Below are 22,379 nucleotides of genomic sequence, written 5' to 3' on the forward strand. Positions count from 1 at the left end.
TAAAGAGCATTATACAGAGCTAAATTAGTTCTAAATACACCACAACAGTAGGTGTTCATTTTGAAAGGGGCTTCATATAACACATAAGCAATGTGAAATAATATTTTGAAATAAGAATGAAAGGTAAATCTTAAAGTAGGACATTAACAAATATTCTAGACAAAATGTACTGCCTCTAGGAAAAATGTTAAGGTCCGATTGTATACTTAGTCAACTGTGAATCCAGAATTAAAATATAATAAGTATTAGTGATCTTCACCCTATGTATTCTTTCTTCATGTTAGAAAAATATCAAAGAATATTGTTTCCTAAGTCTCATCTGTCAATCATTAATTAAAAATAGGAACACAATAAACTGTATAATTTGATCATAGATACTAAACATTACTTACTAATGTATGGTACATGTTTCCACAAGGATTAACATGTAAAAGATACTAAATATTACTAATGTATGGTACATGTTTCCACAAGGATTAAACTGTCATCTAAAATCTTAAAAGATTAATAATTGTCAAAAAGCTTACCATTTGGGGGATCTCGTCTTTTCTCTGTTAGAAAATAAATTAGAAGAATATTATTAAATATATGTAAGACAACATCAACATAAAAAAATTAATTCACTAAACTGTCTTATTCCTAAATTGACATACGTGTGACTAAGGAAGATTTTTCAGAAGACCCGACATTTAAGTAGAGATCTAAATAAAATAAGTAAGGGAACAATACATTCAAAGGCCCCAAGGAGGGTGCAACATGAAAGAACATCATGAAGACTGGACTACAGTGAGCAAATGGCACAGTGAAAGGAGACAAGAAGGAAAGTCAGGGACTAGATCATGTAGGGTTCCACAGGCCATGGTTAAGGACTATAGATTTTATGTGTATATGATAGGAAGCTCTTACAGAATTTTAAATAGAGAAAGTGATATAACCTAATCTACAATTCTAAAAGTTTACTCTGGCTACTGTATAGAAAAGAGATAGTAAAAAGGATTGAGTAGCAGCAGGAAGACCAGTCAGAGAGCTAGTGTGGCAGCCCAGCTGACAGATCATGGTGGCCTGGATTAGGATGGTAGCAGCAGAAATGGTAAGAAATAGTCAGACAGGACATGTTTTTGAAGGCAGAGTCAATAGGACTCTGATAGGATTTATGAGGGACCATGGTGAGCCTGAGGGATAAGATGGAACAAATGCCTTTTACTGAAACAAGGAAGATTAGTAGAAGAATAGGAACAGATCTGAGTGGGGCTAAGGTTCAGGATACAGGACATGGATCAAATATTCTGCTCAGACCGTGTTAAGTCTAAAGGCTATTCTGCCACTTGAGTAGACAGAGTCTGAAGGTCAGGGAAGATGTGTCAGTACTGAAGAAAAAACTTTGAGAGTCATTGGCATACAGTTTTTGGAACTATAGGACTGGATGAAAGCACATGTTCTTTCTTCTGAAACTCATCTGCTTAAGATGATTTTGGAGAGGTTCCCCTTTCCTAGTCACCCTTCTCCACTTTACAAGAGAAACACCTGGTTCACTGTTGTCAAGTAATAGTTCTACTCCAATTAACTTAAAGCTTTATACTATCCTGCATTGTTCTATAATTGTTTTATATGTGTTAGAGTTGTTTCACACACTAAACTAAGTTCCTTATGGGTTTTATAGTATATAGCATTAGGAACAAAATAGAAAGACAAGGCAATGTTTACAGATCTTGTTAGCAACTCTGCTTATTTGCTTCTAAGCTTACCTAAAGTCTTTGTTTACAAAGTATAAAATACTTTTAAAACTTTACAAAAAATGCTATCACAAATGCAAAATTAAAAGTCAATATATATGAAATTTTATCAACAAAAAAGGTTATTGTATTGGGCCCTTCGGTAAATCTAAAAAAAATAGTTCTCAACAAAAATATTATTTATTTTAAGGTAAGGACCACCAAATTTTTTTGTAAATAGTAAATATTTCAGATAATAATTTTGGCTTTGAGGACCATATATCACTGTCATCACTATTTAACTGTGTTGTGACAAAAAATAGCCAAAGACAACATGTAAACCAATGAATACAGTTAAGTTTCAGTAAACTTTTATTTACAAAAAACAGGAAATGGACCACACTTGCCCCATGAGCATTAGTTTGCTGGCCTGATTTAAGTAATTAAAAAAGGGTTACCAGATTTCCTTTGTCGACGGCCCAAAAGGTCTGTAACTGCTTTTCGAAATTTTTTTGCTTCTTCTTCATTGGCAAAATTAAGAGCAACTTGACAAGTCTGAAATATTTTCATCACAAAGGGGAAACAACAGAATGTATGAATTTAGCTTTATATCATAAAAACAATGAGGAAAAGAAGTATATTTCTAAAGAACGAAAGGTTAATTTTACTAGCAGATAAGACATTATTTTATGATCTGAATAACTTAACACAAAAGCATGAAGAAGTTCAAGTAAAAGATTACTATTAGAGAAGTTACCTATCACAGCAGACACATATACTAATTTGAATATTTCATCTTCAGCAAAAAAATAAAATAGCAAATTGAATTTGATCTTTCAATAAGGTTCTATAAATAATTTGGATTAGAAAAGGCAAGCAATGAAAAAAGTAAAGATGGCAATAAAGAAAAATATGACTTACATCTCCAGCAAAGGTATGAAAATATCCTCTAGGACTATTATATACAAAGTTATTGTATAGCTCTTGTTCCCACAATAGTTTCCCATCCTAGAAAAAAGTTAAAAATTAAAATAAGAACTACCAAAACATAATCTCTAGGAATAAAACAAAGAAGATGACTCATATTAAGAAAACTGTTTATATTAAAAATAACTTTTAATGCACACATGTAACATATTTATAATATATAAATAGTGTCACATAATCTAATCAGTAATTTCTTAAAACTGAAAACACTGGATAACGTATCTTTCATAAAACCTACATATCAAGTCAGTTTAATTCAGCTAAGATATAATCTCACTAGCCAACCATTTCCAAATTCAGCTACTTGGTCAAATACATAATAACCAGAATAATTACTAGGTCATCAATGTTACATAGAAGGAATAGGATACTTTTGTACATGAACTGATTACCAAAGCACAGTTCCACCAGCAATATTTAGACAATGTACTATCAAACACTGCAGGAATACTTTATGTTCTTTTCCTCAATTTTATAGATGTGGGAGGGTCAAATATACCTTCCTTGTACTGCTAATTAACCATCTTCAAATTCTTAACTTTTGCAGAGTACCTTTCTAATTATATACTAGTATAAGTAGTATTAATCATGATGCAGAAAGAGACTGATAATTAAAATGTATCAAGGTTAAACTATGGATAAGAGTGCCATGATGGCTGCCATATCTATTGCCATAGTATAAAAAATATGTTTAATCTTAATACCAAAGGTGACGAATTATGAGTGTCCAGCAATTGGAAATAAGTGGTTAGAGAAAGATAGTCATTGCCCTATTCAGAAATGCAAGGTTCTACCTAGACCACAATTTAAAAATATGTAAAATACACTGTTCACACATTATAACCACTGCAATGGAATCCCTTTCTTCTTAGTGGAGTAGTAAGTGTATGCCATTTCTAAATAGTGCTTCTCAATGGTTATGAGAAATATGTCAAAGCACTTGGGGGTTTCTTTCAAACTACGTATGTGTTCCCCACCCCCCAGAATCACTGCCATAGTTAGCCACTGCTAGTGATTACTAGTAAGCCACTGCTAGTGACAGAAGCATGTCATATCTCTCAGCTGTCTTGGAAGCAGACATTAAGATGCACTAATTTAGCCCGGGACTGGTGGCTCAGGCCTGTAATCCCAGCACTTTGGGAGCCTGAGGCAGGAGGATCACTTGAGTCCAGGAGTTTGAATCCAGGCTGGGCAAAACAGCAGAACCCATCTCTATAAGAAAATACAAAAATTAGCCAGGTGTGGTGGCATGCACCTGTAGTCACAGCTACTCAGAAGGCTGAGGTGGGAAGATTGCTTGGGCCAAGGAGATCAAGGTTGCAGTAAGCTGTGCACTCCAGGCTGGGTGACAGAGCAAGAGCAAGACCCTGTCTCAAAACAACAACAACAACAACAAAAGAAGCACTAATTTACCAAATACCATAACTGAGATCTCATTTAATCTCAGTGAAATACCTCATAACAAACCAAGATGGTTATCTGATTTTACAAATAAAGCTGAGACCAGAGGTGTAAAAATCTCTTCACTGTTATCTATCAGGTCATATTAGCGCCCAAGAGTTTAAAGGCAGTTTTAGTTTTTTGTAATTAAAATCTCATTGCACTTATTGCCACATATAAATATTAATCATGGAGGCTTACTTACAGAAAGGTTTTTTAAAAAAATAATGGAGACTTCATCTTAGCAAAATATTTTTATGACAACTGTAAGAAATGAATACCTAACAAGGTATTCAATCTATAACAATGTGATTTATGATTGGAAGGGAGGGATATAAAGCTATGAAAATCTGAATATATCTATCATGAGAAACAATATAAGGAAAAATGAGTAGCAAACAGATTTTTATAGATATTGAAATGTTTTAAACCTGGGCTAAATAACAGTACATACTGAGCTAAAATATTATTTTGTTGTTACCTGAACAGACTATCTACGCTATTCTATAATGAACCAGGTGGAATAAAAGAGTTTCATTAAAAAAATACAGAGTGTAAAGAAAGCCCAAGAACCAACAGGCATAATTTAAAAAAAAAAAAAGCCTTAATGCGTGGTAGCAGGAGAAAGATAAAATAGGAAACTATTCACATTCTGGCTTCAGACATGTTCCCATTTGGTCATGATTTCCGTATGCAATATCTAAAAACCAAGCTTCACTCTTCTAATATTAGTTTATGTATAAATTTAAATATCACATATAGGATAAACAAATCTAAACTAAATTATAATTGATATAGAAAACCTAATCACCTAGTTTAAAGTGAAAGCAAAACAAAACTCACCTTAATGTCAAATATTCTTAAAAAATAAGATCTCTGTGGATTGTCCTTAACAAGACAAGCAACACCACTGCACTTCTTTGACCACATACAGTTCCGATCTGCTGCATATAACTGCACCACTGCTGAAGACATAGTCTGCAAAATATAAAATTTATAACCATTAGGTTCAAAATAATATGTAGATGATCATAGCCCCTGCTGACAGCTTGACCGCAACCACCCAGCTAAGCTGCTCCTAAATTCCTGATTCACAGAAACAAGGAAATAATAAACATGTATTGTTATTTTAAGCCACTAGTTTCTGAAGTAATTTCTTATGTAGTAATAAATAACTAATACAATAATCACATAACAATAATTACTGAAAACATTTATTGATGCTTAAAATGTGTTAGGAAATGTGTTAATCACTTTTAAATATAGCCTCATTTGTTATTACTATGATAACTTCATTTTTTACTTGAGAAACCCGACACTAAAGGGGTTAATTTGCCCAATACCACACAGCTAAATGGCAGAGCTGAAATTCCAAATCCAGGCAATTTGTGACTTCAAATCTAGCATTCTTACTCCCCCTATTACACTGTTTCCCAATAAAGTGAACACTTAAGCAATGAAGTAGTAGCATTAGTAATGGCTGACTTGTATAAAGCAGTTAAGCACTTATCTAGATAAGGATTGAGACAAACTTGAAAGCAGTATTACCACCCTGGAAGGCAGATTATAGTATCTCCTTTCTAAAGTGAGTTTAAGATTGTAAGTGATTTGCACAAGTGGCCACGCAGTTTTAATGCTATACTGAGGATATGAAAAAGATTTGAGTGACTATTGTCTCAATTTTACCAAGGATAGTCCCTAAATAGAACCCTTTCAGATGTATAGGAGGGAAGCTAACTCGTTACATGCAATGGACACTTCAGGGCATTAGGATTTTCCAGTACACCATGTTGCCCCCTTCCTCAAGACTATATCATGAAAAGGTGTAAACTAATTTTATTCTAAATTAAGTTTACTTTATAACCTAGAATGTAACTATTCAACCTTAAGTTTCTATGAAAGTGATACACACTTACACTGATAAAGCACTTACAAATCCTCTGAAAGCCATAATTATGTTTTCTGATAAAGTAATTTCACTTCTAAACTAGAAATTAAGAAAATCATTTAGAATATAATACTTCATATTTTAATATAAATATAAAAATAAAATATTTCATATAAATATATATTTTTTTAAAGAGGAAGAACTGAAATAACCTAAAATAGGAGCTGATTAAGTAATTATGGTACCTTAGTTCAACGGAATTTGGGCTCTGTAATAAAAAATAGACTACATTAAGATTTGAAGATATGCTGTTTTAGGTTTACTGAACTATGCCTGAGGGGTGCCCTTTTTTGGTAAGAGGAATTTCAAAGAACAATTATATGCACAAATCTTTTATAATTAGATACTAAATTCAGAAATGTAAGATCAGTATACTGTTAGGATCAAAAGTCCATAAAGACTTGCTCAGATAACAATGTTCAATGTTATGTTTTTAACATTACAGACCAAACTCAACCTTGAACTTCACATACAGTACTGAGTAGGACACAAAGGAACAGAAAAATTTCTGCAAGAGTCAATAAAAATTATGATAACTTAAAAACAAAAAATGTGTATCCTGGGACACTGGGTTTCAAAGAGGAGACTGAAGAATGTGGGACACTTTTTGGCCTGCTCAAAACACACTTGTGTTTGCAAGTGCACAATCTCAGGATGATAGTGCCACAGGCATCCTGCTGCCAGCACTGAAAACTTCAGAAAAATGCGTCTTGCATACACTATCTAAAGGTACCAAATACCAGGCTGAAGAATGCAAAAATCAAACAAGCAATTTGTTAGTTCTAAGGAGAATTCGCATAAAGTCTTTTTTAGTATGGTGCTGTCAAAATACATTCATTTCTAAAAAGATAGCAATTAGGAAACTAGATGTACCAAAATGAAGATCTAAAAATCTCCCTACTTCGCTTTTTACCAGAAATCAAGAAGTAACAGCTCACACACACACACAAAAAAGTTATTCAATAGGGTCTGAAATCCCATTATGAAAATCCCCTTGCTAGCCAAAGGACTAAATATTCATGATGTTATAAATATTCACGTTGTAAAACATCATGTGGCTATATATGTGAACTTTAAAAAACAAAACAAAACAAAAAAAAACCCAAACTAAAAAACATTTTAACCTTTAGATAAACTTAAATTCTTAAAACACTTGCTTAAGAAATAAAGACTAACAATGCTATAATTTTTCACAGACAGGATACTGCATTATAAACATTAAAACTAAAAAAACAACTATTCAAAAGCAATTTTCAGTAACTGGATTTTCAAAAAATTTGCTACACTCTTATTATCAGTCTAAGTGTCTATTTCATTAATTCTTACCTTCATCTGGCAGTCTGAAAATGACATACCACAGCACCTTGTAAAGCCTTTTCTAATTCAGAATAATTACAGTGAATATGAGAATAACTGCTATACATTTAATACAGTATATTAATGCTAGACAATATAAAAACAGTCACTAATCCCCACACTCTAGATTGACAGTGACTTAATTAAGTTTTTACAGACATTCCTTCCATTCCTTTAAGTAATTACAACAAATCAATTCCATTCCTTCTTGTCTTTCGTAATTAAGAAGATATTAATGAAAAACAACCTAAGAACAAGTGCTTAGGAAGGGAAATCTATTTCTTATTACCCTAATAATGTTAAGGTTAAAATCTGGTAATTAAAAGGAAAAAAAGTACTGTATCAACTTTGGTAGAAACAGAACCTGTCATATCTTGTGTATTCCTGATACTTCAGTACTGAGTAACTGTAATGACATATTCATTCTCAGAACTATGATGATCAAGGGCAGGAAGAATATGGGGGATGTATTCTAGGAAGTGAATTCCCTCCCACTGTCCTTCTGCCTGGGACTTCCACCTCTTTGAGGTTGACTCTGCACCAGTTGAGAAGTATTTCTCTGATTCCTTAGGTTGAAATGACTTTTATTGGAGTTTTTTGGTTTGTTTGGTTTTTTTTTCACATTTCTGAAGTGCTTGTTTGTGTACCTTGTGTTACTCTGTTATTCCACTGGTCTTACTCTAAATCAGAATAATTTTCTGTATTGATTTCCTAACCACTAAAAAGACTGCAATTCCCATAAGCACTTAAAGTAGTTCTGCAAGCTTGTACTTTCACTCCACCTATACTTTGTCCCCAAGTGAACAAGTATTTGTTAAAAACTACATGTTCTGATTTTGATAATGATACTACAATAATAACAGAATGACTCTGATTTTAGGATATATAGCCTGAAATATTATAAAGAGGCATTATGTCTGCAACTTATTCTCATGTTATTCAGAAAAAAATAACATGCATGTATACATATATATAGAGAAAAAAACATGGTAAATGTAATAAACATTTGGCAAATCTGGATGAAGGATATATAGAAGTTCTTTGTACTGTATCTTTAAGTATGAAATTATTTCTAACTTTAACAAGCACGAATGATTCATTAAAATGTATGACCCTTAGCTCTCTTTCACAACCACAGCAATCTTGAGAAGGTGGTCCTCTCCCCAGAGCCATTACTACCTCTATATATGTTAGCCACTGCTGCAATGGCCCAAAACTAAGAAAACTCCCACTTCCTCCTATTCCCTCTATATGTGTACCAACTTTCTTAAAAGTTCTATCCTGCATAAGACTTAAACCACAAACATTCAGCACTTCTACTGTTTAAATTCCTTTCACATTTTCAGAACAACCACATTATGTAACAGGTCAGAATAAGAATTTTAGATCAGGAAAATAGGTATTTCTTTGACTACAGAAACAGCTAGACCACAAAAAGACTAGAAAATACTAGGAGTCACAGGGATCCTTGTTTTTAGCCATCAACTGCCTACAACAAATACTAAAATGATTTAATACTGAATAACTGAATATTTAATAATAACTAAAATTATTTTAATCTAACAAATATACAATGTTAAAGAAAATATTTAAACATATTTTCTCTTTTTATTTTTGAGACAAGGTCTTGCTCTGTCACCCAGGCAGGAGTGCAATGGTGAGTGAGATCGCTCACCACAGCATCAAGCCCCTAGGTTCAAGTGATCCTCCTACCTCACTCAGCCTTCTGAGTAGCTGGGACTACCAGCACACACCACTATGACGGGCTAATTTTCTAATTTTTTGTAGAGATGCAGTCTAACTATGTTACGCAGGCTGGTCTCAAACTCCTGACCTCAAGTGATCCTCCTACCTTGGCCTCCTAAAGTGTAGGGATTACAGATGCGAGCCACTGTGCCTGGCCAAATATATATTTTCAATAAATATCCAAAATACACTAAATGTGGGGGGAAATCATATGACTTAACAAAATAAAGTCTTTTCTATGATCATGTTGGCCTAGATTAACAGTCAAATACTCCAACTTTTATATGTACGCATGTATCTGAATGTTGCATTTGGCCTCAAATGTCTGAAAACTAACATGAGAAAATCCATTCTAAGTGTTCTCATTATATAAAAGCTAAGATTTAAATACATTCCTAGATGCTCTGATGATATATTTACATGAAATGACCTATTATTACTCTGAATATACAGTTGGCCCTTGAACAATATGGGTTTGAACTGTGTGGGTCCACTTACATGCAGATCTTCTTCACTAAATACAGTCAGGACTCCATATCGCAGGGTTCTGCATCCGCAACCAAACGTGGATTGAAAAATACAGTTATTAGCAGGATGAGATACCCACAAAACAGGAGGGCAGACTTTTCACATGGGTGGGTTCTAAAGGACCTCAGTATGTGTGAACTTTGGTATCTGTGGGTGGCCCTAGAACCAATCCCCCATGGATACTAAGAGATGACTGTAAAATTTTAATCTATACATTATAAAAAGTAGTATAAAAGTAAAGAAATGCAAAGAATTTGGTTGAATTCCTACAGTTTATTATGTAGTGATCTCATGAAACAATGTTCTAAATAATTAAAGTAGCAACACCTGTTACCTGCCCACCTCAAAACCCAATACAGAAATCATAAATTTAAAAAAGAAAAACAATGTATCTGGCAGGGAACAACAACTCCTGAGAGTGGTGAGTATCAGTAAGAACTATCCAGGAAAAGAAAACACAAAAATTCACTTTGGAGACAAGGGATCTTATCACCTGGTAATTTCTACAATGAGAAATAACCAGAAAAGAAAAGAGAAAACAAACAAAAACAGTACACGTTTTAAAAAGAATATGGCAATGACAAAAGACTCCACAAGAAATAAATTTCTAAAAAAGCAAACCTGGAGGAATGAAGGAGGAAAACCACAAAAGCATAAAATAACAAACAGAATCTCAACAGTGAAGAAAAACGGAGCCAGATAGAAACAGCTGCTATCTTAGGGACCAAACACAGAGAGTCTTTTAGATCTTAGCTGCTTTTTAAGAAAATTTCTCTGCCAGACATATTTGTTCACCAAATGTTTATGAAGAACCTACTATGTACAAGGGACTGGGATAACTGGGGGTGAGGACAAGAATGAAAATGAGGGCAAATACAAAAATGAATTAGACAAGGTCCTCATAAAACATCTAGTTAATAAAGGGGAGATTGGCATTAATAACTATTAAAATGCTACTAGGAAAAATTAGTATGCAAGAAAAATGTAAAACCTAACTAGTGTAGGAAGGCTTCCCTGAGGTGACATCTTACCTGAAGAATGAAAAAGGGTGAGTCAAGTGAACAAAGCGCTGGTGAGGAGTAAGTATGGAGGAAATGGCATTCTAAGTAGACTCATCAAAAAGACCCTACCATAGGAAAGTTTGGTGAACTGTGTGGAGTAGGAAATAAGAAAGAGAAGAGTGGCATGGATTGAAGACACAGATTTAATGTTAAAGTAATACAAAACACAGCTCAATTCAGTGATTTAAAGAGATAAACAGCCACATACAGTTTGGAAACCTTGACTGGAGATTTGGTACAGTAGCACATCATTCCTGTAATGGCCCTTGATTCAAGTTCTTATATATTATCTTCCTCCACTTATGCTGGATTTGTCTATGTGACTTGTTTTGATGAAGAAGACACTGGTAAATGGAAGGAGAAGCGGGAATACTTGCACCTTGTAGCTTGCCCTTTTGGAAGTGCTGCCCTAAAACCTGGAATCAAAGACCACATAGAGAGCAAGGCCCTAGTCCATTTCAACTGTCCTTTCTGAGCCCAGTCCCTACATTCTGGTGAGATTAGTCACCAGCAGACCAATCACTCAATCTACAGAATGAGAAATTTGTTGATACTGCTATAAGTCACAAAGTCATTAGGTGGTTTGTTTGCAACAACAGATAACAGATGTAGGGGATTGTTTTAATATACTAAAAGACATAACCTATAAGAAATGGCTCCACGTCTTCCTCTATTCCATTTCTAGCAGTATAGTTATGACAAATTTTTGGTTACAAATCATAAAAGTTTTAGACCTCACCTTCATTATCAGTGCACATTCCTGTTTGGAACCATTTAAAAAATCACTTTATTATATACAAAAGCCATATGGAAAGGTGTGTGCTACACAGCAGGCTTAGGTCATTCACAACCACACACCAATCTTATATACTGCCTATGATTTAAATTCATACATCTAGAAAACTGCAAAGTATTATGTGGCACAGACCTTTAGCATTACCAGTAAACAATCAAAATTAGATGTTAAAACTAAAAATGGCAAGTCTTACTGTATTCTCAACTTTCTACTACCAGAAGGATAATCATATACAGATAAAGGTGAGAGGAATACTGATCTCATTATAGACTGGGTTATATTTGCAAATGGGTGAGGACACTGTGTTAAAAGGGCAGCTCATAGGTGCGGCTGGTTCTCTTCTGCCCTACCCTGTAACTTAAGTGGATCTACTTAAAAGGAGTTTTTCCTCTCTCTTCTGTCTCCTTTTCCTTCTGTTTCTTGCAAATTCAGTTGGATTATGGTAAAACCTGAAATTTGGGTCTGGATTTTCAGGGAATAAAGTTGGAAAGGGGGTACCCTAGGAGTCCCAGCTCACCAATCAGTTTATTTTTATTTTTATTTATTTATTTAGATGGAGGCTCGCTCTCTCACCCAGGGTGGAGGAGTGCAATGGCACGATCTTGGCTAACTGTAACCTCCGCCTCCCAGGTTCAAGCAATTCTCCCACCTCAGCCTCCCAAGAAGCTGGGATTACAGAAACCCACCATCATGCCCAGCTAATTTTTGTATTTTTGTAGAGATGGGGTTTCAGCATGTTGGCCAGGCTGGTCTTGAACTCCTGACGATCTGCTTGAATCTGCTTGACGATTGCTTGAACTCAGGCGATCTGCTTGCCTCACCCTCCCAAAGTGCTGGGATTACAGGCGTGAGCCACTGTGCCCGGCCCAAAGTTTAACATTACTAGTGGAGCCCCAAGTCCTGATAACAAGGGGAAAAAAAAGAGAGGGAGGGAGAGTGCAACTGCAGGATGGAGGGAGAGAGAGGTAAAGAGAGAGGGAGAGAGAAAGAGGGAGGCAGGAAGGAAGGGGGAGAGAAAGAGAGATTTTTGTTTTTTAACTTTGCTACTACTCTTCTGTGGGAACAGTTTGGGATGAGAGGGTGAAAAGTAGTTACTGCAGTTGCTGGTGGGATGTGGGTATTCCTGAATGCTAGAGCCAAATAGCACTTAATACCACTTCACCATATATTTTATCAAGCATATAATACAATCCCCTCATTTTATAGGTGAGCTCAATTTATTTGCCAGAGGTCACATATTATACAGCTTTGGATGAATTTCCCAATCAGCTGCTAATTCTATACTCAACATACACTACATAATCAGTGATTCATCCCAATCCTAATTTGTCATATTTTTGCCCTATGCCAGCTAAATGATCCTCCAAGAAGGATATATCCTTAATATAGTTTTATTTCTCTAACGCCCCCTTTTGGTTTGTTTTTTACCTTAATTTTGGGGCAGGGAAAATGGCAGGGAGGGAGAGTTTGTGGTAGTGGTTGTAGAAAGTAAAGGATTGCTGGTGCATGAGAAAAAAAAACATGTTTATGAAGGGAAAAACTCCAAACAGACATTAAGTTGTTTGTCCTGGGGAAAAGAGGTGAACTTACCATGAAGCTAATTAGGTTTAAGTTTCAGGATCTTTTACTTCGTAGAGTCCCTTACAAGGCTTTGATTATTCTCCTTTGGGACACAGGACCAGCAGCAACTGTAGCCTCATGCCTAGGGGCTCCTCTTTAGCTGTCCCTGAAGATGATCGTGGTACTTCCATCAAGAATGCACTATCTCTGTATCCGCCTAGCTCCTAGCAGTAATTTCCTGTCCCTCTTGGACCACATGATGCATCCGGACTCAATCTTTAACCCAAGGATTTGCATGAGTGTTGCCCAGCTCCTGCTGGGTGTGACATACTATGATCCAACTACATGGACACTTCAGGGGTCAGGGACAGTGGTCCAAACAAATGAGATGTAAAGTTCTCCCCAGGCAAGAAACATGTTTTATGCAAAGTGAAGGAAATTACAGATGTGCTATTACATTACTAGTAACTGGTTTCAAAACTTTTTTTTTCAGCTTCACAGCTATCGATAGTAAATAAATTTTGAGCAAATATGTTAGAACAGGAGTCTTTTTCTGTAAAAAGCCAGATATTTAATACTTTACGCTTCCAACTCATGATCTCTTTCAACTCATCCATTGTTGCACACAAAAGCAGCCATAGATTATATGGATATGCCTGCGCTGCAAAAAACTTTATTTATAAAAACAAGCAGGCTGAATTTGGTCCATGGTTGGTACTCTGTCAAGTCTTATGCAAGAGGAAAAGACTCTTCCTATATAAAATATAAAACTGTCATGTAAAGAAGTGATGAATGAATACATGGCCACAATAGGTAGAAAAAAAGTACCAAATAGGTATAATATATTGGACTGTTAATTAATAATAAACACAGCAAGTTATAATAGCAATAAGCTACTTGTCTAAATTTTGTGAAGTTTATGGCATTTTTTATTTGTTGTGATCTTTTCTCACACCAAATAAACATTCACTTTTAGACTTAATTTTGGATTGTTTTTCTTAATGAGAGCCGCTCCCAATTATAAGCTTCAGGCCACAAAACCTGGATTAGCCTTGCTTGGGGTGAGAAAATGATGCATCAATCAGAACAATAGAATTTTGTATATGAAGAAAACAAACAACTATCTAAGCGAATATATTCATTTTGCCAAACCACACTTAACGAAACAACTTTTGAACATATAGTGATCTTATCCATTTAAGAAAACTAAAGCCAAGCAACTTCAAAAAAACACAAAAACACTAAGATAGGTGGGTAATGACAATGAGTGTATCTGGAAGGAGGAGAGTCTTCTATATTCAATGTTTTAAGAATCCTTCATATAACATTTTTTTTTAAGAGAAAGGGTCTCACTATGTGGTCTAGGCTGGTCTCCAACTCCTAGCCTCAAGTGATCCTCCTGCCTTGGTCTCCCAAAGTGCTGGGATTACAGGCATGAACCACCATGCCCAGCCCCATATAATATTTTTAACAGATGATTACATAGCATTTGCTTAAATGCTTGCTGTAATGGGGTGCTCACAACCTGAAGGAAAAACTATTTTACTGTTTAAGCAGTAAGAATATCTTACTGTTAGAAAATTTTAAATAGTTAATCTAAACCTGTTTTCCTGGCAATTGCCACCCACACGTTTTGTATTTTTTATTCTTTCATTCAAGTATCTGTTGAGCATTTGTTATGTGGCAGGCATAATGCCAGGTACTATAGCTATAATAATGCAAAACCGAAGGTATATACCACATCCTCCAGTTACAGCATACTTACTTCTGTGTAGTGGCAGCAACATTTTCGCTTCCACAGCGATGTTCCACTAAAACTCTACTTGTCACATCATCTCTTTTTAAGGTAAAATTTATTTTGATCATTCCTCATCTGACCTGGTTTATGAATCCCTTTATTAGTCTGGTCACCCTTGTTAAAATGAAGTCAATATTTTACATGTGTTCTGATCAGCAGTGCAAAATATTGGGAAAATAATGTTTCTGATCATAAAAAGAAATGTGCAGCCTCATTGTCATCTACCACATGATATGCTGAAGTCACATGGGACTGTCTTAGAAGTCATTAACCTCTCTCATATCCTGATCCTTTATGTCGAAATCCATGCTCCCAAAAGTGAAGTACCCTCTCTGACTCTCCTTTCACTTGGTCACTGTTCAAACTTCAGCTATGATGTTGCCTATGGGAACTGTGAAGTCCTAATCTGGGAGGGAAGTCAGGCTGGCGAGATGACCCAAGGAAAGCAAAAAGAGAAAGCAGTAAGCTGTAAGTCTGCCTTTCTTCATGGTCCAGGACACATAGCCCTTCTGTGCAAATAACTCATGATCTTCCTGAGCTCAGCTATCAGCAGACCCTTGGCTGACAGAAAAATTCAAGTTAGCTCACTGCAACCTTGTTATCAGTATGGCACAAAGCCCTCTTCAGTACAGAGCACAAGCACCATTCTATAAAATCTCCAGCAAGCCTTTGTATCCTGGCAGTCAGCTCCTCTCTTGCTGACCTGTCTGTTGCACCCTTGCAACATATTTTCATACTGTCTCTAAGAAATCTGCCTTTCTGTAGTTACAACTGTCTTGGTAAATTCTTTTTACCACCCAAGCCACCAGCCAGATAGTCACTAGTCACTGCTCACCTGTGACAGGAACCTCCCAACCCACCTTTCCCTCAGTCTGTGACAAAGGCCTATCCATTGAGTTCCCATAGTGCCTAGGAACCTTCATTATACCAGTTACTGTATTATAATCTGTTCACTTAGGTCTTCTCAGCAGACTGTCAACTCCTTGAAGATAGGGCCCTGTCTTATTTCTATACTCACCTAGCACAAAATATATGGTTACCCCCAAACCTGTTTCCCAACAACCAGTTTATCATATAAGAATTAAAATCAGTTCAGTAACGTGTTTGATCTATTTAACTAAACCAGGGTAAAGGGGTAACACACTTTACAATGACTTCTATCAAAACCATTATTTAAATCATTAATTCAAATCTTCAGAATCTTAAAATTATCCAAAATTACTCGAATATTTTGGTCATCAAGAAAAATACACACTCATTAAATAAAGCACAGTTCAGCTATACAAATAGGATACCATACAGCTGCAAAAAAAAAAAAAAAAAGTTGTTATTCAAGTAATGATAAGATGAACAAGATACACTGTTATCTGAATAAAAGGCAAGATGTAAAAGTAAGGGTAGCATATACTAACGTCTGTACACAATACCACAAACAAGAATAAATAACTTACATTTGCCTATGTATGCACAGAACCTTCTGAAGAACAGACAAAACTAGTAACAGTTGTTTAAAGGTTCTGTGTGTGGACAGGTATTTTGTTGGAGAAGAAATGACTAGGCAAATGAAGGACTGGATAAATGAGAAACATCACTTTCTTTTCACACTGTGGGATTTTTTTTTTTTTTTTTTGAGATGGAGTCTCATTCTCTCGCCCAGGCTGGAGTACAGTGGCACAATCTTGGCTCACTGCAAGCTCCGCCTCCTGGGTTCATGCCATTCTCCTGCCTCAGCCTCCTGGTAGCTGGGACTACAGGTGCCTGCACACTGTGGGATTTTTAAACCATGTGGATGTATTGGCTTTCCAAAAATTAAAAATTGATTTAAAATATATACACGTTAAAAAAAAAAGACCTACTCAAATCACATTATGGTGCAAGTCTGAAACAAACAAACAAAAATAACCTTTCTGACCTAGAAACAGTAACCTAGCAAGAATTTTGAGTAGCTCTTTAGCTTCCCCCTAAAAAATTAAAAATAAACATTGCTGAATAACATACTACAGTGCCTAGGGGCTTAAACTAATAAAAAGCAAACTCTGGCTACTATAGGGAGATAGCCAGTCTATAATGAACAACAAAGTCTTTGATTTCTTTTACAAACTTACTCTTGCAGTCTTTCAAACTCTTAAACATGATTAATAAAAATAAGCAAATTAAAATTTTTTGTCTTCCATATTTGTTATTCTATATTCAGCAATTCAATGATCTAATAAGCATTTAAGGACAGTCACAGGGATGTACATATACTTTATATAAATAAGCACTTTTAGTTTGCTTGACTGACATGTACAATCAAGGTGGGCAAAAAACGTGCAAAAGGTAGGTTACTTTGAGAGCCATTTTATTTAAATATGAGCTTTTGAAGGCATAAGGTAAAGGTAAGGGCTTTGTAACAAGTAACAGTTTAAATTCAACATACAACCTAAGGACTTAAAGTACAACATTTGAGACTCTCATGTACATTACACACAAGAGCTAGATAGCATCCACCCCAAAAAACAAACAAACGAACAACAACAACAAAAAACCCCACCAAAGAATCCAAGAACCTTTCTCAAGTTTTGTTTTTAAGATTTACATTTTATTCACAATTTAAGAGACTTAAGGCTGGGTGTGGTGGCTCACATCTGTAATTTCAGCACTTTGGGAGGCCAAGGAGAGTGGATCACCTGAGGACCAGCATGTCCAACATGATGAAACCCTGTCGCTACTAAAAACACAAAATTTGGTCAGGCGTGGTGGCGGGCGCCTGTAGTCCCAGTCCCAGCTACTCAGGAGGCTGAGGCAAGAGAAATGCTTGAACCCAGGAGACAGAGGCTGCAGTGAGCTGCGATTGAGATTTAATAAATGTTCTCTATTTTTTAGAATGTATAAATTAATTGGGAATGATTTCACTTTGAGTCCACACAGATCTTTTACACTGTTACTGTCCTCTCTAGGTAAGCTCCAAAGCTGGGTGGCTTTGGGGGTGGGGGCAGGGGCAGGCGGGAGGGTACTGTTAGTTTCTGGACTCATCTTGCTTTTGCTCTCTGGAGCTGTACTGTTTAATAAGGTCACCACTAGCCACAATGGCTATTCAAATATGTTAAAAATGTTGTCTCTCAAAGTCACACCTGCTACATTTCAAGTGCGCAATAATCACAGATGTCTACCATATTGGACAGCATCATAAAAAGTTCTATTGGACAATAATGCTCTGGAAAGTCCTAGGGATAATCTCATGCAAATAATTTATTAGAACAAGATATGGAATTTATAAGGTCAACAGAAGGTCAAAGTTGGGATAACTACACAAAGGAATGTTCCTAATAAAAATAATTTAAAGAATCGTATTTATTCACAAAATGTCTGGCTAACCTAGAGACTAAATCTGAACAGGGTATTAATTCAATTAACAATTATTTATTATCTTAATCATCTTAGATGATTAAAAGAAGGTCTCTGTCTCCAAGATGTTAATAACCTAAAAAGGAGATATGTTTAGAAAAATAATTGTAGGCTGGCCATGGTGGCTCACGCCTGTAATCCTAGCACATTGGGAGGCTGAGGCAGGTAGATCACTTGAGGCCAGGAGTTCAACACCAGCGTGGCCAACATGGCGAAACCCCACGCCTCTATTAAAAATACAAAAATCAGCCAGGCGTGGTGGTGTGTGACTGCAATCCCAGAGGTATGAGAATTGCTTGAACCTGGGAGGCAGAGGTTGCAGTGAGCCAAGATCGCCACTGCACTCCAGCCTGGGTGACAGAGGGAGACTCTGTCTCAAAAAATAACAACAAAAATAATAATAATTATAACAAAGTATAAGTACCAAAATGAAAGCAAGAATAAAAATGTTCTGGGAAGGCTAAGAAGGGAGCCCTGAATGCTAACTGGACACAAGTGAGGGCAAAGAATCAGGAATGTCCCAGGGAAGAATAGTGTTATGACTGAAAGCACAGACTCTGGGAATAGATTCCACCACTTATTAGCAATGTGGTTTTAAGCAATTACTGAACTACCCTATCCCTGTTTTCCCATCTATAAAATGGGACTAACTTTATTTAGTTAATACATGTAAAGTTCCTTATTATAGGGTTAATACACATAAAGTACTTAGAACACTGGCATTGTATGCATTATTAAATGCTAATTATGATATTATCAGATGTATCATTGCAACATTTCTAATCAGATCATTTTAAGGCTCTATTACTAGCCAACAGAAGCTAGTAATGAAAAGACTAATATTTCTTTTATTTTCAGTATGTTGGTCAATTAAAGAGAATCTGAAAAAAGCCCAGGCTTCCAAAAATAAGAAAGATAACATTCACACCTTTACTATGTGCAAATCTCAGATTGGAGCTGTAACTAAAAAAACACTTCAATACAGTAGAGAGTAAATATTTTGAACGATGGCATCTAAAGCAAGTTTAGGTCAGTGAAAAACCAAATTAATAATCATGTAGTACATTTTAATAGGATTTTTGCTGGCTTGTATACATATGACAAACCTACCTTGCCAGTACCACCCATTCCCCAACCCCAATACTTCCAGTGTTAGAGACTCATTGCCTCTCTCCAGGAACAAGCACTTGTGCTAAGCTCAATCAATTAAATTAAGATTCTCTCCCAGGAATTTAGAATTCTAAACTGGGACCCAGGACTGATGGGTTTAGTAAGGAAGGAGAGGCTTGGAGTTCAGAAAAGTTCCAATAACTCCTGCTGTTTTTCTCAGAGCTTCCCAGCTTCCTGCTGTTCCTGAAACTTCCTTGTTCAATTCTGCTTTGGATTCCATGGGATCCTCTGGTAGCCAAAAAATTCCTTTTTGGTTGAGCCAGCCAGAATTAGTTCATTTTATTTGTACAAAAGAAGCTTAGCTAACAATACACTTCTAAAAGATTGTGTATATTCTCATATCTCTGAAATCTTAATGAAATTCAATGAGAAATGACACACTTTTTCATTATATGTATATGCTGTTATATACAAGTATATAAGCGAGATCTCAAATTTATACCTTGCTTTGGCCTGAAGTATTGTAATAGCTCCCCCTTCCCAAGAGGAGACACTGCCTCTACTTTATTCTTTCGTAAGTGCTTGCCAGTTATCTTTTAGGACACAGATCAATATTTGAAAACGTAACAGGTTCCTATTTGATAAAAATAAAGTCCAAACTCTTCTTCAAGAATTCAAGCTATTTCTTAGTCTGGGGCAATCAACACTTTGACACTATCTTGTTATGAACCCAATATATATCAGAGATAGCAGCCAATTAATCTGCAGACCCCCAAACATATCATACTTCTCAGCTTATAGTGTTCACTCTGCTGAAACATAATGTTGAAAACTTTTCAAACTCCATATATGTAGAGTTCAAATGTCACACTTGATCAAGTTTTTTCAATTTCCTCAAGCAAATATTTCTCCCTTTCTGTATTCTCATAATATTTCATTTATACATCCAATAAAGCACTTATTGAATGACTTATAAGTTCCCATGTAGGGTTTGCTTCACCAAAACACTGTTCACCCTCTAAAGACAAGGGCCACATGCTCTTGAACTGTTATTACCTTTAGCCTCCAACACAGTATTTTATATGCGTTTTGCATTTATTCATTTGCCGGATTGAACTGAGAGGGGTGCCTTTCTTAGAATCGTATTGATTACTGCTGTGCTATCAAAATTGTCTTAAACAATTTTTCAGAACATTACAAACTGCTAATCTGTGGTATTGAAATTATTTTTAGAAGAATGATGACACTTTTCTTCTTGGCACTTCATAACTAATCATAAACATTTATATGACATGGTGAAAAACCTCAGTTAATGCATCCCCCTTCATACTGTTTTAAATGCCACAACAATTTGCTTCTACAACAGCTTCCCCAATAGAAGGAAGTGGTGAGAGTTTGGGGGCAAAAAAAAGCATACCAAAGTCAACATACATTTTTAAAAAGAATGTACTTTTCCCACTAATTCTCAAAGCTTCCCCAATAGAAGGAAGTAGTGAGAGTTCTGAGGCAAAAAACAGCATACTAAAGTCAACGTACATTTTTAAAAAGAATGTACTTTTCCCACTAATTTTCAAAGTACAACAAGGCTGTAAGTCAGATGAGCATAGAAGCACGAAATAATTTTCAGTACATTTGGTTAACTGAACAATTTTGTGGTTTTCAAGACGGTCTTAAAAACAGATGGTGTTCTATCTTTTACACATTATTGTGGTACACAAACTGTATGTAAATTTAATGTTCTATTAAATTACTCAATAAATATTAAGTATGCTCATCACTACTGTGCTATGAAAATACGGAACAGACTTTTAAACTCAAGATGCTAATAATCTGTTTTTTTTAAAAAAGGAGGGATATAATTTGAAAACTGTAAAGCTATGTATGCAAAGATAAAAATTAAAACACATGTAATTTTACACAGAATTTATGCCTCTGAAACCTATTTCTATTTTAATTTACATTAGGTTATATTTAAAAAAAAACAATTTCTTGAAATATGTTTTTTTCCTCATTAGAATCCCAAATAAAAATATTAATATAACAACTGTCTAGAACTGATACTTGTATCAGGCAGAGTGCTAAGAACTTTACTTGTATTTTCTTATTTAATATCAATCCTAGAAGGAACTAAGTTCATACATGAGGAAATTAAAATTGAGCTAGATTTAGTAACTTGCCCGTTGTCACAGAGGTAGAAACTCAAAGAACAGGGTTATAAATTTAGATCTGCTTTACTGCAGACCCCATGCTGTGAACCATGTGTCTCAGTGCAGAAAACATTTAAATTAAATGTCCCACTGGCTTCTGGAAGGGGGAGGTGGGATTTCAATTCCTTCCCTAAACTAAAAATTTTTATTCAACACTAAGTCTGTAAGAATCCCTAACAGTTAATTTTGGTCACAAGAAAAGAAGATAAACAGATCAGTGTTTTAAGCAAACATAAGTTCACTGTTAAATATTACCTAGAGATCTAAAGCATATTTTTTAAAGGTCTTGCAAAGCCAGTATTAACTCTGTTAATGTTACAGACCAGTATTTAGATCAATATTCTTCATGCATATGAATGTGAAAAATCATTCTAATTACAATCATATCAATAATATATTATATAAGGATGGAAAAACAAATGAATGGGACAGGTCAGACTCCAGAAATAGACCCAAACATATAAGGTCAATTATTATTAAAAAGGGTTCCAAGTCAATTCAATGACAAAAGATAAGGCTTTTTTACCAAATGGTGCTGTATCAAATTAACTACATAGGGAAAAAATGAAACTGTAAAGAAAAAATTCATATGATCATCTCATATGACCTTTTTTGCACTTTATATAACACAAAAAATTTGAGATGGATCATAAACCTCAAGTTAGAATCACAAAGCTCCTAGAAGCAGCAGAAGACTGTGACTGTGACCCCTTGGCATAGGCCAAGATTTCTCAAACCACAAA

General features: G+C 35.4%; 1 protein-coding gene across 1 annotated transcript in view; it reads right to left on the reverse strand.

Annotated features, from left to right (window-relative positions):
* The window catches only part of WASL (WASP like actin nucleation promoting factor), a 67,061-nt gene that overhangs the window by 22,164 nt on the left and 22,518 nt on the right, over positions 1–22,379 (reverse strand). Inside the window, exons 2-5 of the mRNA NM_003941.4 lie at positions 4,983–5,117; positions 2,634–2,720; positions 2,171–2,267; positions 528–551 (exon numbers count right to left, since the gene is read on the reverse strand). Coding sequence (NP_003932.3) covers positions 528–551; positions 2,171–2,267; positions 2,634–2,720; positions 4,983–5,117 — 343 coding nt within the window. The remainder of the gene's footprint in view (positions 1–527; positions 552–2,170; positions 2,268–2,633; positions 2,721–4,982; positions 5,118–22,379) is intronic.

This window comes from Homo sapiens, chromosome 7 (genome assembly GCF_000001405.40).
Source record: "Homo sapiens chromosome 7, GRCh38.p14 Primary Assembly".
Lineage (NCBI taxonomy): Eukaryota > Metazoa > Chordata > Mammalia > Primates > Hominidae > Homo > Homo sapiens.